General features: G+C 45.2%; 1 protein-coding gene across 9 annotated transcripts in view, besides 10 other annotated features; it reads right to left on the reverse strand.

The window, feature by feature from the left end:
• ANKRD10 (ankyrin repeat domain 10) overlaps nucleotides 1–7,696 on the reverse strand; it is a 36,530-nt gene extending 28,834 nt beyond the window's left edge. For all 9 annotated transcript variants that reach the window (NR_104587.2, NR_104586.3, XR_007063690.1 and 6 more), the window contains exons 1-2: nucleotides 7,352–7,696; nucleotides 3,245–3,397 (exon numbers count right to left, since the gene is read on the reverse strand). Coding sequence is in view for 6 of the 9 variants with exons in the window: in NM_017664.4 (NP_060134.2) it covers nucleotides 3,245–3,397; nucleotides 7,352–7,561 (363 nt within the window). In the remaining 3 variants the exon portion in view is untranslated. The remainder of the gene's footprint in view (nucleotides 1–3,244; nucleotides 3,398–7,351) is intronic.
• Nucleotides 875–1,492: an enhancer, noted in NCBI's record as "OCT4-NANOG-H3K27ac hESC enhancer chr13:111560595-111561212 (GRCh37/hg19 assembly coordinates)". NCBI's record gives its function as "activates a minimal SCP1, AML or CMV promoter by ChIP-STARR-seq in naive and primed H9 embryonic stem cells {active_cell/tissue: H9 hESC(naive and primed)}" and the evidence as "EXISTENCE:reporter gene assay evidence [ECO:0000049][PMID:30033119]".
• Nucleotides 6,308–6,984: an enhancer, noted in NCBI's record as "NANOG-H3K27ac-H3K4me1 hESC enhancer chr13:111566028-111566704 (GRCh37/hg19 assembly coordinates)". NCBI's record gives its function as "activates a minimal SCP1, AML or CMV promoter by ChIP-STARR-seq in primed H9 embryonic stem cells {active_cell/tissue: H9 hESC(primed)}" and the evidence as "EXISTENCE:reporter gene assay evidence [ECO:0000049][PMID:30033119]".
• Nucleotides 6,708–6,837: an enhancer, noted in NCBI's record as "active region_8016". NCBI's record gives its function as "activates an Ori minimal core promoter by ATAC-STARR-seq in GM12878 lymphoblastoid cells {active_cell/tissue: GM12878}" and the evidence as "EXISTENCE:reporter gene assay evidence [ECO:0000049][PMID:35858748]".
• Nucleotides 6,948–7,317: a silencer, noted in NCBI's record as "silent region_5521". NCBI's record gives its function as "represses an Ori minimal core promoter by ATAC-STARR-seq in GM12878 lymphoblastoid cells {active_cell/tissue: GM12878}" and the evidence as "EXISTENCE:reporter gene assay evidence [ECO:0000049][PMID:35858748]".
• Nucleotides 7,588–8,247: a silencer, noted in NCBI's record as "silent region_5522". NCBI's record gives its function as "represses an Ori minimal core promoter by ATAC-STARR-seq in GM12878 lymphoblastoid cells {active_cell/tissue: GM12878}" and the evidence as "EXISTENCE:reporter gene assay evidence [ECO:0000049][PMID:35858748]".
• Nucleotides 8,336–9,010: an enhancer, noted in NCBI's record as "H3K27ac hESC enhancer chr13:111568056-111568730 (GRCh37/hg19 assembly coordinates)". NCBI's record gives its function as "activates a minimal SCP1, AML or CMV promoter by ChIP-STARR-seq in naive H9 embryonic stem cells {active_cell/tissue: H9 hESC(naive)}" and the evidence as "EXISTENCE:reporter gene assay evidence [ECO:0000049][PMID:30033119]".
• Nucleotides 8,378–8,537: a silencer, noted in NCBI's record as "silent region_5523". NCBI's record gives its function as "represses an Ori minimal core promoter by ATAC-STARR-seq in GM12878 lymphoblastoid cells {active_cell/tissue: GM12878}" and the evidence as "EXISTENCE:reporter gene assay evidence [ECO:0000049][PMID:35858748]".
• Nucleotides 12,795–12,944: an enhancer, noted in NCBI's record as "active region_8017". NCBI's record gives its function as "activates an Ori minimal core promoter by ATAC-STARR-seq in GM12878 lymphoblastoid cells {active_cell/tissue: GM12878}" and the evidence as "EXISTENCE:reporter gene assay evidence [ECO:0000049][PMID:35858748]".
• Nucleotides 14,018–14,077: an enhancer, noted in NCBI's record as "active region_8018". NCBI's record gives its function as "activates an Ori minimal core promoter by ATAC-STARR-seq in GM12878 lymphoblastoid cells {active_cell/tissue: GM12878}" and the evidence as "EXISTENCE:reporter gene assay evidence [ECO:0000049][PMID:35858748]".
• Nucleotides 22,127–22,626: an enhancer, noted in NCBI's record as "H3K4me1 hESC enhancer chr13:111581847-111582346 (GRCh37/hg19 assembly coordinates)". NCBI's record gives its function as "activates a minimal SCP1, AML or CMV promoter by ChIP-STARR-seq in naive H9 embryonic stem cells {active_cell/tissue: H9 hESC(naive)}" and the evidence as "EXISTENCE:reporter gene assay evidence [ECO:0000049][PMID:30033119]".

Here is a 25,810-nt window from a genome sequence, read left to right on the forward strand (position 1 = left end):
TTAAGAGACCAAGATAAAAAGGAGTGCAGCAACTGTGGGTCACTTAGAAAACAGTTCATTCCTAAACTCACTAAATAGCTAAGCTCCTTCACCAACTCATACTCACAGGAATAAACATGAGGTGAGGGCCACCCAAAGTTAAAAAAAACAGTGGTAGATTAATTTACAGAAAAATAAGAGTATGAAAGGCTCGAGTGCTTGGTAGAGGGAAAAGTGTGCACATTTATTTAAACAAAGGTCTAAAGAGACTATAAAGCAATGTAAAGTTCTAAACAGAAAAATCCATTTTTGAAGACAGAAACACAGAAAACCATGCGGCTATAAACTATCCAGTCAACTCGGATTTTTTAAAAAGCGAAAACCTAGCCCTATCCTCCCCAAAAGAGAGGTGAGGAGGGGAGAGAAGTAGTACAAAATAAAGACAAATAAAAATTACATAAAAACATTCCCAGGAAAACTGGAGCTGAGATTTAGATAAAGTTTTGCCAAAAAAGAAAAAGGCTAAAAAGGAAAAAAGGTCTTTAAAGCTATCCTTGGAACAAGACAAAAAAGTAAGGGTCTGTCACGGTGGGATATTAACAGATGACAATGAAAAAGCAAAACTACCAAGCTCTGCAGGGACAATCTTTAGGGGCAGAGCAAACACTAGAGAAAGGCCCGGACATCCTGAGAGAAGGTAGCCAAGAGAAAAGATACGTAAGACTAAAGAGCCAGGTGAAGGTGCCCGGGCCTCCAGCTCAGCCCAGTCACATCGCAGCCACAGCAAATTGAGTGATCTACAGGGAACTGGGAGCAGTGCCAGAATGCTCAAGACAGGCTGGGCACCCTGGGTTTTCATAAAGAAAAATTTCATTTCCAATCTAGATATGAAAAATTAAAGACAACATCAAATGCCAAAATTCTAGAAGAGGCATATGAAAGAGAAGGTTTGCTAATTACGCACCAAGGCTAGTCAATATAGATTCACTAAAAACAAATCACAGGAAAGCTGGCTTCATTTCCTCTTGGGGAAATCGAGAACACAGGCCTCTAGGCAGCATACGAGCTTTGGTAATCTCACCTCAGAGACTGCCAAAAAAGTCTGTGGTATTAACTTTGAGGAAAATGAACTTAGAACTGTTAGTAGCTAACATGCCAAAAGATTAACAGACTAGAAATTGGCTTAAAACACTGCATCAACAGGTTCAAAAAATTAAATGGACACAACAAAGGAGAAAAACCTGGATTGGATTTGGCATCCTGAGTTTATATGAGAAATGAGAGAAACTGTCTACCTGGAGATGAGTCAGCAGGTAGGCGGGGTGGGGAGCTAACAAAAGGGCTATTGTGTCCTCTAGAGTCACTGGGTGCCCATAACAAGAGGTGTTGAAATTCACCCACTACATAATAGAGTGAGATGATGCCTCAGATTCGGATGTAAACTCCACATGCCAGCAGACCACAACTACCTAAGATACACTAAGGAGAAATTCCAGGATGCTTTACAATGCCAAATGATATGCACTAGGCACATGTGAGGACTTGGAAATGTCTACCCGGATACTTCAAATACAGGGAGGGCTGAAAAGAAAAAGATTTTAGGATCCTGCCTGGGAAGAAGCAGAGTGCGGTAGAAGTTTCCAGGAGGTGTTATCTAGAGGCATCTGAGAGGAAGGTGGGAGACCCAGCAGCACACTTTCTGCCTCACTCCCTTTATCTACTGAAAATACTGAACTGCCATAAGACACTTTGAAAAGGGGGCTTCTTGATTTAAAAAGGTCTGGAAAGCAGTGTTAGACAATTTCTCTAGTCCTCTCTAAATAAGATGCTATGTAACAATTTGATGAAAATTAACCTACAAAAATGATATACTTAAATTCCATACTATTAATTACTGCCATTCATGGAATTATTAACTGTATTTTACTGATAAAGAGATTGAGCCACAAAGTTAATGACTTGCCCAAGGAATCAAGCCCACACTGCCCTTTCTACCAGGGGACAGGGGTAGGGAAGAAGGAAAAACACAAGGCGCTGCCCAGCACATAAGGGTATTGAGTAGGTAATTCATAACTCTCGAATTTATGAAGACAAGCAACAGAGCAGCAGAGAAATATACATTATGTAAAGGCACACGTGTGGAGATGGAAGGAGAGAAGTGGCAGCACAACCTTAAAACTTGTCCCATATCCCACATTTCAGTTTAGTAACAAACAGGCCTCAACTCTTGGCCACCTTCCATTTTCTTTTCTACTTCACATCTTTTAAGGGGACAAACTGCCTTATAACTTACCCCACTTTCCCATTGATCCTTGTTTTAAATCATGGCTAAAAACACCTTCTTTCTCAATTACTTACTGCTCAGGTGGGTAGCTGGGTTTTTAGAAGAGGGACTAGCAACAACCTTATGCCTGGTTATCATGAAGGACTGAATCTTGGGAAAGAAAAGTAGAAAGACGACTTTGCATCCAAGACCTTGATGACTATAAAGCATTTAAAGATAGGAGTAAAAAAGGCATAAAAACCAGCTCCCAGAGCCCATGCCCAGGTCTTAAGAGATGAAAATTATCAATTAGTCTAAGGACTAATCCATCTGCAGCAAAGGACGCTGAGTCTAGGGACTGCTCCCAGTCAGACAACCTAATGGTTATTAGATGCTGCTTGTCTCACACAACTAAGTACCTAACAATCTGAATGCGTGTGTGTTTGGTTTAGGTGAAATGATACTGAAAACACACCATGAAGAAAAATCTGGCACGATTATGTTCCTGTCAGTATGTTTAAATACCAAGTCCTCAAGTCACTTACTCTTCCCACTTAGTAAATGATACTTAGCACTTATCTGCATCAAGGCATCAACTTGTATCTGAAGCTCACTTTGGAGCTGACTTAATAGCCATGCTTTTCCCAGGATGAAAATGTTTTCATAATTATCTGTGGAAATGAGGCTAAGGCAGCTATGAGTAGAAAGCCAGGAAACCTGGGCTCAAGGCCAGGCTCCTTTAATTACCAGCTATAACCTTGGGCACATCACCCTGGATCAGTTTATCACACAACAGGTGAAAGCACTCTATGAACAGAAAGCATTCCTATGGAAAGGGCCTACTATCCTCCACAAACAACTGAAGAAACATAAATTCCAGTCTGCCCTCAGGTAAAGATATCAAACTCTAATTAAGGCCTCGATTTAAAGCAATACCGTGTATAATTATAACTGCAAAAAGAAAAAGCAAAAGCAAACCAAGTCCATCACCAGCACTCTTACCGGTTTGTTAATGTTGGCTCCTGCTTGAATCAGCCAGACCAGGCACTGAGGATGTCCCCCAAAGGCTGCAATGTGGGCTGGCGTCTGCGCGTACCGTGTGGTGGAGACGTTGAGTGTGGCTCCCGCTCTCACCAACTGCACTAAGCACTCCAACTTCGAAAACAAGAGGGGTAATGAAAACACGCAGACATGTCAGTACACTATTCAATATTACATGAATAATCGAAATTCTATAATGGTGACAAATGGCATTGTTACCAGTTTTTTAACAGATTAAGTCACTCTTTCCCAATGCCATGCAAATTTTAAAGGACATTTAAGATAACATATTCCCTTGTCCTTATGAAAAAGACGGTAGATAGAAATAGAAAAATGCAAAAAGACGACTAACACTATACAGATTTAAATATTTGTTTCCCTACAATTGAATAAGCCAAAATCAGAAAATATTGGACTGCGCTGTTCCAAGACTTCTATCAAAACTGTTTGTTGCACAGACTATTCTAAACAAAAACGTTAAAGGGATTGGTGGGTTAAAAAACTTTGTGTAGGCCGGGCGCAGTGGCTCATGCCTGTAATCCTAGCACTTTGGGAGGCCAAGGCGGGTGGATCACTTGAGGTCAGGAATTCGAAACCAGCCTGGCCAACATGGTGAAACCCCATCTCTACTAAAAATACAAAAAAATTAGCCGGGCGTGGTGGCGGGCACCTGTAATCCCAGCTACTTGGGAGGCTGAGGCAGGAGAATTGCTTGAACCCAGAAGGCGGAGGTTGCAGAGGGCTGAGATCACGCCACTGCACTCCAACCTGGGCAACAGAGCAAGTCTCCATCTCAAACACCAACACCACCACCACCACTTTGTGTAATGCCAGGCGCAGTGCCTCATGCCTGTAATTCCAGCACTTTGGGAGGCCAAGGCGGGTGGATCACCTGAGGTCAGGGGTTCAAGACCAGCCTGGCCAACACGGCGAAACCCCATACTGGGGTTTCAAAAATACAAAATTACAAAAATTACCTGGGTGTGGTAGTGCATACCTAGAATCCCAGCTACTCAGAAGGCTGAGACAGGAGAATCACTTGAACCTAGGAGGTGGAGGTTGCAGTGAGCAGAGATCACGCCGCTGCACTCCAGCGTGGGCAACAGAGCAAGACCCTGTCTCAAAAAAACAAAAAACAACAACAAAAAACCCCACAAACTTTGTGTAGCCATAGTAAACTCGTCATAGTCAAAGACTATTTTCTATAGTGTGCACAACTGTGCACTTTTACACAAGCCAGCACTGAATACTCATTGAATAATCAATAGAGGCCCCATTCTCCACATTTTTTTACTCTTTTCAAAACCCTATGGGGGAAAAAAGCCTACAGCATAACTGAGCAATGCACCTAGTGGGTGACTAACATGGCAAGTTAAGACTTTGTGGCCAAGCACCAATACCATGATAGCCTCTGGCTAAAATAATTTAGCGCATTCAACAAATTTACCAAGTGCCTACCATGTGCCAAGCAACTGTTCAACCCACGTTCTCTGATCCTGGACTGCTCATTTTCCCTCACTCCAATCACAATGCAGTTAGGGAACAAGCTATGCCTGACTGCAAGCAATTCTCTTCAAGAGGAGAGACCTCACCTGAAGACAAAACACCTGACACTACCATCTCAACTCAAGGTTTCTTTTTCCATTTCTCTTAGCACTTTCAGGCTTTCAGTAAACACTCCTGTGAGATGAAGAGTACACAGATTCAAAACACCCTCTTCAACCAACTTGGACCTGGGAGTAAAGGCTGATGTCTATTTATTGCCTTTATTAATTCACTGGGTGAAAATGAAAGTATTAATTAGCGATAAGATGAACAGGTTGCAAATCCAATAAAAATAAAACGGATGAAAATCACTTGGCGTACCAAAAATCAGCTATTCAGGGCTCGCTGGCTTTAAACCTGTTACCCTTGGGTTCAATTTAGAAACTTGGATTTGGAATTCTGGAAAGATACTGTTCAATATGGTATAAAAGCTACAACAGAGATTTTAAACAACTCGTTTAGTCCTCTGGCAACAAACGAGTCTTACCAACGGTTAGGGGATCTTGTGCACCACTAGCACATTTCTAAGAACACGAGCCTGAAACCTGTGTAAGAGGGCAGCCGTTAGCAGGGCTGGGGAGAAAGCCTGGACTTCGCAAGCGGTAGCCCTGAGTCCTGGCCTGATTTCTGTCCTAACGGCTTCTTCTCAGAAGGGAATGTTTGGACACTGGACAGGGGCTTTCTAAGGCCCCTTCCGTATCTAAGACCAAAGAGCCCTATGATTCAGACAGCTGGAAACAATGAAGTAACTGCTTCTTGTTACAACATTTGATGACCAAGGTAAAGCTACTACTCAAAGTCCCATGGAAGTAGACTTTTGAAAAGTGATTTCAGTCGGTGTTTTTTAAAAAACTGTGATAAAATACACATTAAAAATTACCATTTTAAAGTAACTATTTTAATCCCCAGAGACAAGTGGAGGCACCACTGGATTAAATTTTCTAAGTGACCATCTGTAATGAGGCTTTAAGCATTCTACAGATCGTTGTTCACTGACTATCACCCAGTATTGTGTCGTTCTCAACCAGGGTAGAAAGGACAGAATCCTAAAGTTTAGTGTAAAAATAAACCACAGCAAGAGACACTCTGGAGGGAGGAAATCCTCAGATTACTGACTGCCTCGGGAAATCTATTTAAGGCTGCACGCAGAAGCGCAGGGAGGAGGCTTTATTACTTTTGTTTGTTAAGAAACTCATTTCCCCTGGGCACCTGTTTTCTCCAGCAGGTACTACGGTTGCACAACTTCAGAGACAGTGCCACAGGAACCTAACAGCCCTTGAGGACTGATTAACTTGCTTGTCCCACCCCGATCGTCAAAACTCCTTTTCATTTCTTTTATTGAAAGAAAAGTGACTTTTCCACTTTAAAAGAATCAGAAACTGCTTTCCAAAAGACACAGCTGCTTTGTGAATGTAGCACCAGGGGCAGCAAGGTAAACCGCAACTTCATCAGCTGGTAACGACATTACCAGGGCCAGGCCTTCTTAAAGTAACTTATTTCACATTACCTCTCACATATTTCTGCAAAACCATTTAACCCCATCTCATCACTTACGAGAAAAACACTATACACATCCCTGAATTTCAGTGAATTAAGAAATATTAATTAAAACCAGTCACTTCTGAAATGCACGGTGAAATCTTATTTAAGATTTCTGAGAGCAAGTACCCCAACGACTTCACAGATGAGGAAACGGTAGCTATCCAACCTTTTAAAACCTTAAAGCAGCACTGTGTTCCCCCAGAATTTTCAGTTTAAGAAAAAAGAGGGGAACGTAAAGCCTCCACGGGAAGAGAATTCTGCTTAATTTAACCACTTCTGCAGTAATTTAGATCCAAGATAAACACAGCCGTCACTAATTTTGCTGAAGCGGGGCCAGCTACAAGCCTTAAAGCAAACCCAGAAGCTGGAGAGCCGGCCTCCATCCCACACAGCTGCCGGGGCCTTCCAGTCCCGCCGGGGCGCTTGCTCCTCGGCTGAGCTCGTCCGCAGCGCGGCCCTCGGCTACTGGCGAGGCTGTGCGGAACCAGAAGGTCGACCGCGCCCGGGCATTCCCCGCGCGCCTCTGACCCCAGCTCGGCTCCCCGGAAGCCGCCTGGGCGACTTCGCGGCCTAATACCCGGCTCTGCGAAATCGCTCGCGCCTCCGGCCCGGCCTGGAGGGCCCCGCACCATCCGCGCGCGCGCGCGCTCGCACAGGATCCGGCCAACAGGCGCCGGGACCCTTGGAGCCCGCCTTGTTAGAAACTTGCTACGCGCGCCGCCGCACATGCGCCCTAGGCCCCTCCGGACGCAGGCGCCACCGACCTCGCTTCCGCCCCGCGCCCCCCGGCTGCCCCGCCGCGACTCCGGGCCGCGAGCGCTGCCGCACAGGCGCCCTAGGCCCCTCGGGGCACAGGCGCCGTCGATCCCGCTTCCGCCCCGCGATCCCGGCACGCCCCACGTCCCCCGCACCTCAGACCCGCTTTCCCCGACTCCCACTGGACAGCCGGGGAAAATGGCGCCTTAAAGCGTTCGCACCCACCTTGCCGAAATGCGCGGCCCAGTGCACGGGCGTCCAGCCATAGAAGGAGTCCTCAGAGGCCAGGTGGGCGTGGGGTGTCTGCTGCAGCAGCGAGCAGAGCGTGGCCAGGTCCCCGTCGCGGCAGGCGCGGTGCAGCGGGAAACGGAGCGAGAGCAGCTCCTCGCTGGAGAAGCCCGCCTCTACGCCCGCGCCCGCTCCCGCCGCCGACATGGTCCGTCACCGGAGAGCGCGGGGCTCGCTGGCCTAGAGGACGCGTCGGGGAGGACTCGAGAAGCCGCCGCCGCAGCACAAAGGAACGAGACTAGCGCCGCGGTCGCGTCCCACAGGCTGCCGAGCGGAGCGCGCACAGAGGGGGCGGGGCGGGGCCTGGAGCGGCCGGGCTGGGGGCGGGGCCTGGCCCAGAGGACGCCTTGTGCAGCCGGGCAGGGGTCGGGGCCTGGAGCCGCGGACCTCTGGAGCCGCCGGGCAGGGGGCGGGGCTTGAGCCGGAGGCCGCCTGGAGCAGCCGGGCGGAGGGCGGGGCTTGGAGCTGCGGACGCCTGGAGCGGCCGGTAGGTGGCGGGGTCTAGCCTAGAGGATGCCTGGAGCAGCCGGGTAGGGAGCGGAGCCTGGACCAGAGGACGCCAGCAGCAGCCGATTAGGAGGCGGGGCATGGGGCTGTCGACGTCTGGAGCAGCCGGGCATTGGGCTTGGGCTAGAGGACGCCTGGGGCGGTGGGCGCCTGGAGTAGCCAGGCAGAGGGCGGGGCCTGGCTTGGGTCCACGCCTGGGGCGGCCGGGGGCGGGGCCTGGCTGGAATTGACGCGTGGAGCTCCGGTGGAGGGGGCGGGGCCTGGCTGGGCCGCTGCCTACAGCGGCTTCCGGGGCTTGGAGGTCACGGGGCTCGGAGGTCACGGGGCTCGGAGGTCACGGGGCTGGCTGTGTGGGGGGCTCAGGGGCGTAGAGTGGCCAAGCAGCGGTCTGAGCGGGTCCCGGGGCCTCCGGCGCGGTGGGTCTCGGCTGCGCCCCGGGTGCGGACCATGATGTTTCCAGCCTGGGAGCCGGTCCGGGCGGGGAATCCCGGCTGCCGGGGGCGCGGGTTGAGGCTCTGCGGGCCCGCGCCCAGAGCGGGTGGGAGTCACGGGTCTCCCGGAGGCCCAGTAGCGCGCGGTGAAGTTGTCCAGTAAAAATTTATGGAGCGCCTACGGGGAGCAGGGATTCTCGTTAAAATCTGGGAATCAGCAAGCCCTAGTTCCTTACAGAGCAGGACAGATTCCTCGGTTTTGTCCGAGGGACGCCTTCTTCGGAACCGAGTGCGGTGGGCTAGGACTATACGTTTGCAAGTTTAAGAGATAAGCGAGAAGACCAGACAGAGCAAACAATAAAAGGCTTTTTGTTGAGAACTGTATAAATGTAAGGGAGTACCAAATCCCCTATTTTGAATGACAGTATCACGGACTTTATTACATATGTAATTTTATTCTGATTATGAAAGCATCAGTAATTTCACTATTGAGGAATAACCACAATGTTTATGAATATTTCCTTTGCTTCTAAATATGCGGTCTTTTTAAATCATGTATTTTATTTCATTTGTATATATAGTTTTTCGCTGTGTAAACTTCCTTTTTGCAAAATTCTACGTCACAAATTGAACAAGGCAATTAGATGTCTAGGGAAGTACTGATGCACGAGAAAGCATATTGCAGCATTGGTTAATAAAACGAAAAAATAGAAACCTAAGATTTAACAAAGGGAAGTTGTTAACTAGTGGTGTAAACACTCAACACAGACATGTCTTCATACAGCAAACATTTGTTGAGTACAATGCTGAATGAAACACATTGAGAAACACTCTATAGTGGGGAAGTAGCAAATATTTCAATTCAGTGAGCAATTGCTAATGAATGGAAAATATGACACATAGAATCTATCTTCTCCCAGGGAGTTTGTAATCTGTTAGTGAAGCAGGAAAGAATAATCAAGCAATACTTTTTTGTTTGGACCAAAAGGGTGAGAATAGACTATAAACTCATTTCAGGTTTTGTTTACTCTAGAACGTAATCATTTTTCTTCTCACATGCCATGTTGATTTTAATCTAATCTCTTTAAAATATATCCCCCTGATTTCCATCTTTCTTAGGAGAGAGGTGTCCCATTTTGCGAAAGGACGTGAGTGTATCTTGTCCTCCATGTAATGAAAGGGAGGGATTACTTGCTAGGCTGCATTCTGGGAATGGTGAAACAGAGATGGTGGTAAGTCAAGGAATTTGTCCAAGGGCAAACTGCATGCCTGTGGCAGAGCTTAGAATAATATCCAGACCTAGGTTCCAACCCACTGTTAGATTTTTTTTAACTTTGGAATTTATTTTGCATAGAGTATTAAGGGCTAGGAAGATAAAATAGGTTATAGTGATAGGGTACTTCGTGTACGTCTTTCCTCACTTCAGATGACTGGGTTTTTTAAAGGATTATTTAGACTATATACATATTTATTTAGCTGTACAGGAGTAGACTGACATATATACGTGGTGATGGATCCCCAAGACAGATCCTGTAACTGTGGCAGGAGGATTGTGGATAGGATGGTGTCTACTGACTATTCCCAATGCCAGTGATCTAATTGGTTGGTCACCCAGATTTTGCTCAACTCTGATAATTGTCAGATGCATTCCAACTAGAACTACTCCATCTTAAATGGGGCTGGGTAAGATGAGGCTGAGACCTATTGGGCTGCATTCCCAGATAGTTAAGGCATTCTAAGTCACAGGATGAGATAGGAGGTCAGCACAAGATACAGGTCATGAAGACCTTGCTGATAAACAGGTTGCAGTAAAGAAGCCAGCTAAAACCCACCAAAACCAAGATGGTGACGAGAGTGACCTCTGGTCATCCTCACTGCTACACTCCCACCAGCGCCATGACAGTTTATAAATGCCATGGCAACATCAGGAAGTTACCCTATGTGGTCTAAAAATGGTAGACATGAATAATCCACCCCTTGTTTAGCATATAATCAAGAAATAACCATAAAAATGGGCAACCAGCAGCCCTCGGGGCTGCTCTGCCTAAGGAGTAGCCATTGTTTTATTCCTTTACTTTCCTAATAAACTTGCTTTCACTTTACTCTGTGGCCTCACCCTCAATTCTTTCTTGAGTGAGATCCAAGAACCCTGCCTCTCCTGTGGTCTGGATTGGGACCCCTTTCCTGTAACAATCATTACCAATCTCAGATTTCCTTTGAGACTCTCATTTTTTAAAAGCTCCAAAGAGAAGAAGAGTAGATTCATAACATCTTTTTCATCTGATGAAGCAACCATACACAAGCCAACTTAGGCATTTGAAGATACAATCCAAATCCATGAAAGAAAACAGGAAAACTCAAAACTTAACATATTAAGATTGCCTTTAGACTGGAATTTTTTTTTTTTTCAAAAAAGGATTGCATTGTATGAGAAATTGTGGAAGTGGGGTAGGGCTCAGTTGTGTGAATGGCACAGTGATTCAGTGTCCATACGTGTGACAGACATTGATGGGCATCTCTTGAGTGTCGTTATTACACCAGGAGCAGTGCGCCCTGAGGGACGTGGGGTTGGAGAGCAAGGTAGGCCCCAGTTGATGTTCCATATTAAGCATGCCATGCTAAGGAGTGGCTTTTTACTTTCAAAAAGTTTGGGAACCAATGAGGGGTTTTGTTGTGCCATTTAAGGGAGGGAGTGATGACTTGGGATGGAGGGGTGGGGGGACCCGGGTCAGACTTGCAGCTTGGCTATGAGGATGGAGATCAGGGAGCCCACTGTGACAACACCTTCAGGACTCAACGTGGGCCTGCAAGCCTTGCTGTTTTCTCCTCGGCCCCTTCTCCATTCCTATCCACATCCACTACGCTGGCAAATCCATCTTTTGAGAGGGCAAATCTGCTTAAAAATTGATGTAGGAACAGTTTCCAAAACTTGTCATTCAGATACCACCTGCATGTGGATTTTTTTTTTTTTAGACAGGATCTCACTCTTGTCACCCAGGCTGGAGTACAGTGGTACAGTCATGGCTCACTGCACCCTTGACCTCCTGGGCTCAAGGGATCCTCCTGCTTTGGCCTCCGAAAGCCCAAAGCACTGGGATTACAGGTGTGAGCCATGGCTCCTGGCCATATGTGGACTTTTATATCTACATAGGATTGATATTTTTTTCTTAAAACTGGTTCACTTTTTTAAACTTAGCCACTTCATTCACATCCTCTCATTAATAAACCATTAGTGAGTTTGTGGTGCTGGTTACATTCTCTCCCTACCCATTTAAACAAATAGATATCAAAATAGAGTTTGATCTATAAACCTTCCAAATTGGCTCCTGCCATTCGAGGTTTTCAGACCACACCTGGGAAAATGCTCCCAGCAAGCAAAGTCCAAGATCAGACCCTTGGCTGGGTAATGTCCTTACAGCCAGGGCCGACTGCCTGTCTTTGGACTTCTTGTTATGTCACTGCCCAGGGCTGTCCAGAGCATGTCCTTGACACTGGGGCTACCTCTGCCTTGAAGGCTGCTCCCTGCCCTGTCCCAGAGTCCACTCCTTCTGATCTGGGTTGAATTGTGTCCCCCCCAAATTCATGTGAAGTCCTAACCCCCAGAACTAAGAATGTGGCCTTATTTGGAAATAGGGTCATTGCAGATATAACTAGTTGACATGAGGTCACACTGAAGTAGGGTGGGCCCCCAATCCCATATAACTGGTGTCCTTATAAAAAGGCGACATTTGTCATGCCTGTAATCCCAGCACTTTGGGAGGCCGAGGTGGGCATATCACCTGAGGTCGCGAGTTTGAGACCAGCCTGACCAGCATGGAGAAACCCCGTCTCTACTGAAAAAAAAAAAAAAATACAAAATTAGCCTGGTGTGCTGGCACATGCCTGTAATCCCAGGTACTCGGAAGGCTGGGGCAGGAGAATTGTTTGAACCCGGGAGGCAGAGGTTGCGGTGAGCTGAGATCGCACCACTGCACTCCAGCCTGGGCCACAAGAACAAAACTCTGTCTCAAAAAAAATAAAAAATAAAAATAAAGGGACAGTTGAACACAGACACAGGGGAAGACGACCACGTGAAGATGGAGGCAGAGATGGGGGTGATGCTTCTACAAGCCAAGGAATCCCAAAGACGACGGCAAATCACGAGAAGCCATGGAGAGGCCTGGAGCAGATCCTTCTCTCACAGCCCTGACACCTCCATCTGGGCCTTCCAGCCTGCGGGACTGCAGGACAACACATTTCTGTTGTGAAGCTGTCCAGCTCCAGGAAATAACACACTGGTCCTTGCTGGGTTCCACCTCTCTCGCCCGAGGTGGGGAGGCACCAGCCACCCCCTGGATGCCTCTGTGCACTGGCTTCTCCAGTGCTGTTCACTTCCCTTTCCAAAGCTGTTTCCCATGTTAGGACAGGAGCTTCTGTCCCCTGCAGGCAGGCCCGGGAGGATCCAGGTGTCTAGTCTTGAAAATGTTTTCAACTGATTTCTGAATTTCCCCATGTGGGTACCATAGAGGAAAGTCCCTAGTGAGTCCCTAGCGAGTTATTAAAATGGCTTCTGCTGATCTTCCTGGGAGGGGTGCTGGTGGCCTTGCCATGCTCTCCTCCTCTGGCCGAGTGCCCAGCCACTGACCGGCTCCTGGCTGGACCGGGCCCTGGTACCTGGTGTGACTCAAGGGATTTATATCTTCCTCACCCTTCCTGAAATTGCCACTATTGTATTTATTCCTTAAGAACATTCTAGAAAGAAAAGCATTTACCCTCACAGGATTTCCCGTCACCTCCAAATGAAACAATTTAAAAACCAGACAAGTAAATGTTACTTCTTTTTCTAATCGTGAAAGAGAGAGATTTTTAAAAAAATCCTGACTGTGGAGAGGCGTGCCTGAGACTGCATCCCCCTATTCATATACTCTTGTAATTAGAAACATGCCAGAGATTTGCTTCTGTGGGCTTTAAGTGTGGAAACCAACGATTGTCTTTCCAGCTGCCCCCGCTCTGCTCTGGAGGGGAGCTCTTGGTGAGCCCCTTAAGCAGATAGAGGAGACTGCTCTGAAAATATTAAATACTTCTGGCTGATGCTCCATGTTCTGCTGAGCAGTGTCACAGATGGATCTCTGTCTCTCTCTCTCTCTCTCCATCATTACTGTATCCCTCGAACGTAGGAAGTAGGACAGTGCCCAGCCCATATTAAGTCCTTAATACCTATTTCCTGAATGGCATGAAATTGAAATGGAAGACTGAGCTTCAAATCAGTTGATAGCTCCCTTCAGAAAGAGAGAAAGCACCATGGACCGGGGATCTCAAATACAAAGAACATGAAGATTCTAGAATCTTACTAATCTTCCTGTCTTGCTTTTGTCTTGTTAAAAAAGTGATTAGCAAAATCACTTTAAATTAGCAAAAGTGATTACCCATTAAAAAAAAAAAAAAAAGGAAAAGTCCCCAGTTCTACTCAGAAGCAAGGGCAGGTCTGTCTGCTGGAGACTGACCGTGGCGTGGGGAGGGATGGGTGGGCGACGGTGTTGAAGGAAGGAAAGGGAAACAAGCTGCCAGCTGGTCCCTGCCACCTAAGGAAAGAGCAAGCCACCGGAGGTGCTGCTGGGGGAGGATGACCCGCAGGTGGTTTCCTGACATCTTGACCTTTAATTTAGTAACCCAATGCAGTCCTTGAAAATGTTTTCAACCGATTCCTTAATTTCCCCATGTGGATACCATAGAGGAAAGTCCCTAGTGAGTCATTACGGTTATTAAAATGGCTTCTGCCGATATTCCTGGGAGGGGTGCTGGTGCCCCCGCCACCCCCCACACATGCTCTCCTCCACTAGCCGAGTGCCCAGCCTCGAGTCAGGGCCCACTGACCCGCTTCTGCCTGGACCAGACCCTGGTACCTTATGTGACTCAAGGGATTTACATCTTCCTCACCCCTCCTGAAATTGTCACTATTGTATTATTCCTTAAGAACATTCTAAAAACAAAAGCATTTACCCTGATAGGAATCTTCATGACCTAGGATAAAATAATCCGCCCATCTCATGTTATAAGAGGACGTGGATGTCACCTTAAAACCGCTCATACCTCACAGCACAAGACTGAGTGAATGCAAGTCCCAGCCATGCAGAAGCACCAGGGCGTGGGGAGCCAAAGAGATCAAGTCACAGTGTGGGCTCTGCCTAGCAGAAAGATGGTTGATTGTCTCCCTTTATCCTATAGCGCCTAAAACCTTCCACAACCCTCCAGGCTCTTCCAGACTTGAGCGCTGACTATAAGCTTAGCTAACTGTTTTACAGAGCAGCCAGAAGCAGGGATGGAAGCTGGAGAAAACAGCACAGCTCTGGCCCTGGTGCAGAGCCCGTGGATGACTACCGGGACAGTTCAATTTCTTGTTGTGACAGCCTTCTTTTTCTTTTCCCTGTTTCTGAAGGCTGGGTTGAAAAGAATATTGCAAAGAATATTGCACAGGGGGTTCTTCTGCTGGAGGAAGGGTTTCCTCCCTGCCCTGCCTTAGTTTCCTCATTTGTTAAAGGAAGACAATAATTATCCTGTCCAGGTAAAGGTCATTGTGAGGGTCAGGTGAGCTTTTGGGTGTGGAAGAATCTCTAGACTAGGAAGATGCTGGGTACTAATTGCTCTCCCAAGTGCCTTTATGAATTTACACTGCCAACAGCAATTCACCAAAATCCCAGTTCCCGATTCTTTCTGATACTAGGTATTGCTATTAGATTTTTTTTGTTTTGCTTTTTCATGAAGGCTAAATTGCAGTGGTAATGGCTGCTAGGGGCTTTGTTGTCAGAAACTGGCGCCACTGAGGGCAGGCCAGCTGCTGAGAACATCCCTGGTGCCTCTTGGGCTCCTGTGCCCTGCTCCTTGGACCTGGTGCCCCTGGGGGACTGCTTCACCTGGCACTGTCCTCTACACAGGCTGCTGCGGCTCCAGCATTCTGACCTCTGGCCGGGGGCAGTTCATCCCAACTGTAGGATGGCTGTTTCCTCTTCATTCTCCAAAGTGCGGCAGCACTCAGCCTGTGACTTTTATCCACACTGACTGCAGGTTCGGTGTGCTGGCAAGGACGTGTCACTCTACAGAGAATAACCGGGGCCAGAGACCCAGAGTTGCTCCTGTTTACTTGGACATGCCTTCCCCCTGCTTCACTCCAGCCTGACTCCAAGGAGCAGGGGGCGAGGACAGAGGAACAATTAGAGTTCAAACACACTCAAAAATCTGTTCCAGGTGGATTAGACTTCAATGTGAAAGCAAAATGGAAAAAGATTTAGAAGAAAAGACAGCAGAACATCTTTATGACCTTAGAGGGTTGGAGGATTTCTCAACAAGACACGTAAAGCACAGCCATAGAAATGTCCAGACTTGCCTATAAGTAATAATATAATAATGTCTTTCAGTTGTTATTAATAACTTCTTTCAAAGCAAAAGACAAGCTACAGAACAAGGGAAATTGTTTGCAATTCATTTAACACATACAGTCATGCCTCGCTTAACAGCAGGGATACGTTCTAAGAAATGCGCCATTAGGCGATTTCCTCATTTCAGCATCTTGGAGGGCGCCCCCACAAACTTGGATGGTACCGCCTGTCACACACCGAGGCTAGATGGTGGAGCTTGTTGCTCCTAGGCTACTAACCTGTACAGCATGTTCCCATACAGAATACTGCAGGCAATTGTGACATAATGGTAAGTATTTGCATATTTAACATACCTAAACATAGGAAAGGTACAGTCAAAATATATTAATAGTATTATCATCTCATGGGACCACTATTGTATATGCAGCCTGTCATTGACCAAAAGGTTGTATGAAGGGCGTGACTGTAAAGCATTCGCATTCAGCATATAAAAAGAACTTCTACATATCAAGAAGAGAGAGATGAGCAACAGGGGCAAAGGATATTGACAGGCAATGTACTGGAAACAGACACAAATGTCCAATAAGCAAGATGCTCAGAAATCAGTAATTTATCTGCTCTACTGAATGGATTAGTCCCCTCATCAGGCAAATCTGCTGCGACCACTTACAGTGGTTCTCTACCTTAATATAAGCACACACACTCATCATACCCCCTTCTAGCTCCTGCCCATCCCTCCTCTGTCCTTTCAAAGGATTGTCTGCAGCCATCGTCTCCCAGGCCCTTCTCAACCCTTTCCAACTGGGCATTAGTCCGCAGCACTCCCAGGGATAACCAGTGAAATTCATCATAGTCCTTCAAATCTGCCAAATCAAATGCTCAATTCTCTATTCTTATCTGGCTTTATCTTGCTGGAGCATGCAACAAGTTGCCCATTAGCTCCTTTTTGAAACACTCTGTCCTGGCTTCCATGACACACCAACTCTTGCTGGACCTCCAAATGTTCAAAGACCCCAGGGCTGGGTCCTAGATCCTCCATTCTCTGTATTTTCTTCCTAGGCAATGTCATTTAATCTCACACCTCCAAACACTACTTACAACTGGTGATTTCTGAATTTATGTGTCTAGCCCTGACCTCTCCTCTGAGCTCCAGACTCAGATCCTGTGGCTTAGTAAATATCTCCATTTGGATCTCTGAGGGGCATCTCTAGTCATGCCCCAAATTAAATTCTTGAGTCACCCTCCCCACACCTGCTGCCCATCCCACACATACATAGTGTTCTCTAACTCTGTAAATAACACCACCACCTATCCAGGGGCTTGAGTCCAGCACCTGCAGGTCAATACTTTCCCAACTCCCACGTGCAAACCATCTGCAAGCTCAGGGGGCCCTACCTCCAAATATATCTCAAGTCCACACACCTCTTTCTTTCTCCCCTCCTATCTCTCTGACCCATTCTCTCTCACTTAAACTGACACAGTAACCTCTCAGCTTTTCCTGTCCAGCAGCCAGAGGATCTTTTTATGATATAAATCTAATAATAGCGCCAGCTTAAAACCTTCCAATGCCTTTTCATTGAACTTGGAACAAAATACAAATGGCATAGAGACTTGGTTCCCCTCCAGCCCAGCCTTTTACTGCTGTCTCTTGCCCTCACTGAGGTTATGCAGGCCTCGGGCTTCCTGTTCCTGGACCCAGCTCTGTCTGCTGGGAATGCTGTCACCCAAAACTCACACTGCTGACTCCTTGTCTTTCAGGCCTCCCCTTAAAATGTCATCTTGGAGGAATGGTATGGCCTGAACCCCAGCCCGAGTCGTCTTCCACAGCGCCATCCTGCTTTGCTTTCTTCCCAGCACGTACCTCTGGAATGATCCGATTTCTCACTAACTGTCCTGGCCCCCTTGAATGGATGGCCCAGAGAGACAAGGCCTCCTTCACAGCGGATGCTCAGAATTTAACTAAATGATTTAACGAATAAATTTAGGTAAAACTAAATTTACAGTGGAGTTTTGTCTTTAGGGATTGAGTGACAAATTCGAATCATTCGCTGCTTGTTTCCCAGTCAAAACTGCCCTTGTGTCTGAGGTGTGTGAACCAGGGCAACTCCATCTTGAATAGGGACTGGGTAAAATGAGGCTGAGACCTACTGGGCTGCGTTCCCAGATGGTTAAAGCATTCCAAGTCACAGGATGACATAGGAGGCTGGCACAAGATACAGGTCATGAAAACCTTGCTGATAAAACAGGTTGTAGTAAAGAAGCCAGCTAAAACCCACCAAAACCAAGATAGGGATGAGAGTGACCTCTGGTGGTCCTCACTACTACAGTCCCACCAGCACCATGACGGTTTACAGATGCCATGGCAACGTCAGGAAGTTACCCTATATGGTCTAAAAATGGGAGGCATGTATAATCCACCCCTTGTTTAGCATATAATCAAGAAATAACCATAAAAATGGGCAACCAGCCGCCCTCAGGCCTGCTCTGTCTATGGAGTAGCGGTTCTTTTATTTCTCTACTTTCTTAATAACCATACTTTCACTTTAGGGAGTTGCCCTGAATTCTTTCTTGCAGGAGATCCAAGAACCCTCTCTTGAAGTTGGGGACCCCTTTCCTGTAACACTTGCAAATCTCTTTCAATTGCTTGTAAAGGACAGTAGAAAGCTGTGTGGGCCGTAGCAGCTGCTGGCCAAAGGGTGCTTTTGAGCACTTGAAATGTGGCCCGTCAGACTGAGGAACTAAATTTTAAATTTTATTTAATTTTAATTTATTTAAATGTGAACTTAAAAACTGAAGCCTGATTCAGTTATTGGAAAATTCTTAAGTATGTTTGGAACAACTTAGATCTGTGCATGGAACTCTTTCAAATGTAATGGTCTGGAATCTAAGTAAGGATCAACTGTTCTCAGTGAAACTTCAGTGCCCCATTGAGACGTGCTGTGAAACACACACCGAACTTCCAAGGCTGAGTGAAAGTGAAGGAATATGAAATAGCTCATTAATCATTTTAAATGTTGAATGTATGTTAATATATGTAAATATGTTGATATAATAAATTGATAATACTTAGGATACACTGAGTTAAAGAAAATATATTGTTCAAATTAATTTCACCTGTTTCTCTTTACTTGGGATGTGGTTAGGGAAAGGGTTTAAATAACATATATATCTCAAATTTTATTTTTATTGAGTGGCTGTGATAGTTGAGTGTCAACTTGATTGCATTGAAGGATGCAAAATATTGATCCTGGGTGTGTCTGTGAGGGTGTTGCCAAAGGAGATTAACATTTGAGTCAGTGGACTGGGAGAGGCAGACCCACCCTCAGTCTGGGTGGGCACCATCTCATCAGCTGCCAGTGTGGCCAGAATAAAAGCAGGCAGGAGAACTTGGAAAGACTAGACTGGTTTAGTCTTCTGGCCTCCATCTTTCTCCCATGCTGGATGCTTCCTGCCCTCCAATATCGGACTCCAAGTTCTATAGCTTTGGGACTTGAACTGGCTTCCTTGCTCCTCAGCTTGCAGATGGCCTACTGTGGGACCTCACCTTGTGATGGTGTGAGTCAGTACTCCTTAATAAACTCCCTTTTATATGTACATCTATCCTATTCATTCTGTCCCTCTAGAGAACCCTGACTAATACAGTGGCACTGGGATATTGGAGACTAATATGTACCTCATCTATCAATAAATCACATAACTAGTTGTTTTGTTTCTTCTGCTAGGAGAATACTGTTTCTTTGGTTCAGTACCAGACTTGACCTGGGGCCCATCTTGAAGAAAAAAATAAATGGCTTTAAAGAATGGAACCCCACCCAGGGTGGCAAAATGCCCACAAGAGACTCAGGAGGATGGAGAGCAGCTGAGTGAACAGCAGGGCCAGGTCTTCTAACTCACTGCTGGGCTCCAGGAGCAGAGCCGTATATGACATTATCGTCTGCTCTGTGAATTGTTCTTCTCTCTTTCCCCTCTTCCCTCTCTGTTTACTAAGTATGTACAATTATACTTCTCTCTCCCCATAGAAAGATCTGGAAAATGATTTTCACCTGAGAGTTTTTGAATGGTACATGTTGGGGACATTTCTCTTTGGAACATTTCTATATTGCTTCATTTTTAAAATGAGCATTTTCTTTTGCCAAAAATAATGGTTCTTGTAACAAAGTCTAGACATTACAGAAATATATAAAGTAGAAAATGAACCTAAAGGCAGGAATACCAGTTGACCTAGCAATCCCATTACTGGGTGTATACCCAAAGAAATAGAAGTCATTCTACCATAAAGGCACATGTACTCGTATGTTCATCACAGCACTATTCACAATTGCAAAGACATGGAATCAACCTAAATGCCTATCAATCAGTGATAGGCTGGATAAAGAAAATGTGGCACGTATACACCATGGAATACTATGCAGCCATAAAAAGGAATGAGATTATGTCCTTTGAAGGGACATGGATGGAGTTGGAAGCCATTATTCTCAGCAAACTAACACAGGAACAGAAAACCAAACACCACATGTTCTCACTTATAAGTGGGAGCTGAATGATGAGCACACATGGACACAAAGGGGAACAACAGACACTGGAGCGTGTTGGGGGTGGGATCGAGGGAGGGAGAGCATCAGGAGGAATAGCTGAGGGATGCTGGCTTCATACCTAGGTGATGGGATGATCTGTGCAGCAAACCTCCATGGCACACATTTAACTATGTAACAAACCTGCACACCCTGCACATGTACCCCTGAACTCAAAATAAAAGTTGAAGAAAACAAAAAGAAAGTGAGATGAAAGCCCCTTGTAATTCTATCCTAGAGGTAATTTCATTTGTTGTATACATTTCCACACACACACATAGATATAAATACAGATTGAGCATGCCAAATCAAAAAACCTGAAATCTGAAATAGTCCAAAATTCAAAACATTGAGCACCAGTATAACACTCAGAGGAAATGCTCATTGGAGAATTTTGGACTTTGGATTTCTGGATATGGGATGCTCAACCGGTAAGTATACATAAGGCGAATATTCCAAAAACTCCATATCCAAAACACTTCGGGTCTTAAGCATTTTGGATGTGGGGTACTCAACCTGTATCTTTATATATTAATATACCCATGATTTTTCAAGTAAAATGGAATCATATTACACACACTGTCTGTAACCTGAGTCATTTACTTAACAAATTTCAGGCTTTTCAGGCTGGTAATAGACATCTCTACTATTCTTTTTAATAGCTGTGCAATATCCCAATATGTGCCTGTAGCATAATTTATTTACTCCTCCTTTATTGGTGAATTCATCTCTTTTTGCAATGATAAACAATTTTGAGGTGAATTTATTTGTGTATGGTTCTTTGCTTGTTTGTCTCATTTCCTGAGGTGGAATCTCTGGGCCAGTTTTATGCACATTATAATGGCTTTTCCAGGTCTCATTTCCTGGAAAAGTTTCAGATTTCCTTCCAGAAAATTTTGGCTAATTTATACTTGCACCAACAATGTTTGAGAGTACCTGTTTCCCCACACCCTGGCTAATATTGGGTATTACCCATAGTTTTATGCAAAAATAATTCATTCAACAAGTATTTATTAAGCACCCACCATATGCCACTGTTAATTTGCACTTTAAAAATTGTCAATGAGGCTGCTACCAATGTATTTCTATGTGTTTTATGTTTTCATGTGCTTTGTGTTTCTGCTCTGAGCTGCCCTTGGCATGTTGGGATTATTTGTGTTTTATTAATTTATGAGTCTTTTTCTATTCAAGGGTTGCAGCTCTCTGTTGTATTGCAGAGCTGTCTTGCCTGTTTTCGCAGCACCCTTCACTGTGCAAAGTGTCTCTATTTCAGGTAGTCAAGATTGGCATTATGTTCTCTTTTGAGTTTCTGTGGCTGGAGTTACATTGAGAGACATACCCTGATTATAAAAATATTTCTTTGCCAGTTATTGATTTACTGCCTCCTACCTTCAAACTTGATCTCTACTCTGCCATATGGACTTGTCTTTTCAAGCATTTCTCCTTATCGATGTTAATTTTTCTTTTTTTTTGAGACAGGGTCTCACTCTGTTGCCCAGGCTGGAGTGCAGTGGTGTGATCATAGCTCACTGCAGCTTTGAGCCCCTGGGCTCAAGCCATCCTCCTGCCTCATCCTCCCAAGTAGCTGGGACCACAGGTGGCCACTGTGTGGGCTCACAGTGTTAAGTGTCCCCACCGGAAGATGCTAGAGGATGTGGCAAGAGGAAGGGACTTTTCCCTCCTGGGCCAGCTGTGCTGTGTCTGTTCTCTTCTTTGTTCCTACTGAGGGGTCTCTCTGTGGTGCAGGAAGGTGGGGACATTCCAGGGGGCTCTGCCACAGCCCCTGCTCAGAGGGTGCAGCCCCTCAGCTGCCTGACCCTGGGATCCCTGCCCAGGAGTCTCCTCACATGACCTGTGTGCCCAGACCTCACCTGCCCACCCACTGCCCAGGCCCAGGAGGCTGTGTCCCGTGCCCGGCTAGGGAGCAGCTCTGGCCAGAAAACATCCTCACAACCCCATGGTTGGCAGCCAAACCTGGACAGTGACTCTGGACCCTGGCCTGGGGGACAGGGCTCCTTCCACATTTCTCCTTTTTGGGGCCCTTGCCCTCAGCCCTGGTGTGCCTGTCTTTTCAGTCTTTATAGTTACTAATCTGTCTTTATAGTTACTCCCTAATCACACTTAATAATTCTTTATATTAAAGTTCTGTTTAAGTTACTTACTAGACTCAGAATGGTACAATTCCCTTATATTTCCTTTTAGTCATTCCATGCTTTTATTCTTGATATTTAAATATTTAGCTCATCTCAATTTATTTTATTGTGTGGTATGTGTTAACGTTTGAACTCAGAGTTTTCCCAGTCATTTACCCATTGTTCCCAAATCTTTCACATCCTCATCATATGCTAAACACCAGGACTCTCAGAATTTCTGGACACTTTACTCCATTCCATCGATATTCTGTCTATTCTTGTGCCATACTGTTTCATACCCTGTAGTTTCGTAATATGTTTTGAAATATGGTCTGGCAAATTCCCTTTTATTTTTCAGTTCTAAAATGGAAATTTCAGTAATCATCACTAACCCCCCTTCTCCCAAATACTACACAACCTGTGTCCATAATAAAATTTTAAAAATAGCAATTAAAAAATCCCTAATTTCATGGAAATTAAAAAGTATTTTTCCAGAAGCAAAAAGGAAATAACTAAAATTATGTGGTAGTTGGGGATTAATGACACCAAGAACATGTTGAGGTATTGAACATCTTCCCCAAGAAACTATGCCCACATAGAATGTGTGAAAAAGAAGCCAACATGGAATATGTGATGCAGATGTATTTTAATTTGCAAAACCAAAATGCAGATGCAGCTTCAAACCCTAAAACCCACTCTGCCTGATGTGGAACTAGGGGAGCATCTGCTTACATTTTGCAGGGATGAGGGGACACAAAGGAGCAGCAGGTGCCTCCCTGGAGACCACAGAGTCTCCTCCACCTCCAGAGTCTTACACCTTCATTCTCTCCTCGTTCACGAATTCCTTGGAAGATGGAGTGTCTTCTCACTGCCAAGACTACCCGGTCCTCACTGAGCTCCTGGTCTTGGGCCGCTGCATGTGCTTGCTCAGGATACGTGGCACTGGACAAGAGCATCTGTCCAAAGAGACTCTGTGGGCTGAATCTCAGCCCCCCACCCTGGCTGTCACACCAGCACTGGGTGGCCTCTAGTGGGAGGGAGGGATTCCTTGTTCACTTTTGCTATATCCAGATTATAGCCCAAAGAGGAAAAATGTTGGAAAACGTAGAAAAGTGCATGAGAGTTAAACATTCTATTGCCTTTGCATTGTCCGTGAAGTCGTAAAAGTACCGATGGATTGTAGGTTCTAGTAAGGCAGAGAGTTATGTCATAATAGCTATCATCATTAAAAGAATGTTTAATAATTTAATAGAAGGAAAAAGGAAAACAAAAATACCTAATAAATACAACAGAAGACAAGAAAGGAGAGAAAAGGACTATAGAACAGATGGGACAAATAGAGAACAAATACTGAGGTAGCAGATAGAAGCCAAACTACATCCCCAGTTACATTTCATCGAGTGGAGTAAATACTCCAGTTAAAGGCAAACCAATGGTTGCAGTAGACTTCTAAAATCCTCCTATATGTTGTTTGCAAAAGATATACCTTAAATATAAGGGTGGATATCTTAAATATAAGGGCACAAAAACGTTGAAAATGAAAGAGGAAAATAATATGCAAATACTAGTTAAACGAAAGCATATTCAAATGAATATTGAACAATTGTACTCTTGAGGCAAGAAGATTTTGGGAGATGAGGAACATTTCTCATTCAATTTCAAAGGATTGAAACTATGGAGAAGGGAGGAGTGTCGCTCCAAAATGTCTTCCTTCCCGTCCCACTCACAGCAGGGACGAAGGCTTTCTGTGGCAGCCATGGCCACCCAGAGGCAATCTCCCTTGCTCAGCCGCCACACCTTCTACACCTTCCGGGGGTTCTTCCTTCTCCATGGAGTGCCCGTCAGATTAGATACACAAGGAAGGCTCACTTCCAGCTCAGCAGCAAATCTTCAGTATTTGCTACCTATAAACTGATTTATCAGTGGTTTTTGCTAGCTAATATTAAACATATTTTTATTCATAAAGTTATTTTTGTTCATAAAGTTAGATTGTAAGCCTTCTGAAGCCTGTAATTATGTCTCCTAGGGCATTCAGAAAAATCCCTGGACTTGTGCACACTTCATAACTGCTGAGGACACTGGACTTAACATCTTTAAAACCTTTGAAGTAATTTATAAAATAAATTCTAGCTCCACAGAAGTTGTGAAAAGAGTACATAGGGTCCTGGGTACCTCCTGCTCAGCTTCCTCCAATGATGGTATCTTACCTAACTGTAGTGCAATATGAAAGCCAGGAAAATGACATTTCTACAGTATTATAAGCCCTATGCCATGTGCACCACGTTTGCATGCATGTGTGCATGTTTGTGTGTGTCCTGTGCAATTTTGCCCCTTGTACAGGTTCATGTGACCAACACTACATTCAAGTTACAGAACTATTGAGCCAGCACAAAGAGTTCCTTCATGACTCCTTTATTTATTTATTTTTTCAGTTTTTAGGGTTTTTTTGTTGTTGTTGGTTTTGTTTTTTTTATTTGTTTTGTTTTGTTTTTTTTTGATGGAGTCTCGCTCTGTTGCCCAGGCTGGAGTGCAGTAGTGCAATCTCGGCTCACTGCAACCTCCGCCTCCCAGGTTCTTTTTTGGAGGCAGGGCCTCCCTCTGTTGCCCAGGCTGGAGTGCAGTTGCAAGATCTTGGCTCACTGCTCACTGCAGCCTCGACCTTCTGGGCTCAAGCAATCCTCCCACCTCCCAGCCCTCCAAGTAGCTGGGACTGTAGGCATGCACCACCACACCTGGCTAATTTTTTTTGCATTTTTTTGTAGAGATGGAGTTTCACCATGTTGTGCAGGCTACAATACCCCTTTATATTTGCACCCCCAACTCCCAGTCCCTGGCTCCTGGCACCTACAATGTTTTCCATCTCTCTTGGTTTGTCATTTTGAGAATGTTGTAGAAATCACACAGTATGTAACCTTTTGAGGTGAGCTTTTTCCACTGAGAGTAATGCCCCTATGATTTTTTTACTGAACACAATTGCCTTTGAGATCTACCCAGATTGTTCGTATCACGGATTGTTCCTTTTTCACTGGTGAGTAGTATTTCATTGTTTGGATATACCAAAGTTGAACATTTTGGGGTTATTTCTAGGTTGTTACAATTATGAATAAAAGCACTCTGAATATCTGTGTACAGATTTTGGCGTGAATATAAGTTTTTATTTCTCTGAGATAAATGCCTAAGAGTGTGACTGCTGGGTTGTATGGTATTTTTGTGCTTCATTTTATAAGACATGGCCAAATAATTTCCCAAAGTGTCTGTGCCATTTTACATTCCTACTAGCAATGCATGAGAGGTCCAGCTTCTCTGCCTCCTCACCAGCATTTGGTGTTATCACTGTGTTTTAATTTAGCTGTCTTAATAGGTATTGAAGGAAATAACGTATGTGGTGGTCCATTTCCGAGAC

Source organism: Homo sapiens, chromosome 13, assembly GCF_000001405.40.
Source record: "Homo sapiens chromosome 13, GRCh38.p14 Primary Assembly".
Taxonomy (NCBI): Eukaryota; Metazoa; Chordata; class Mammalia; order Primates; family Hominidae; genus Homo; species Homo sapiens.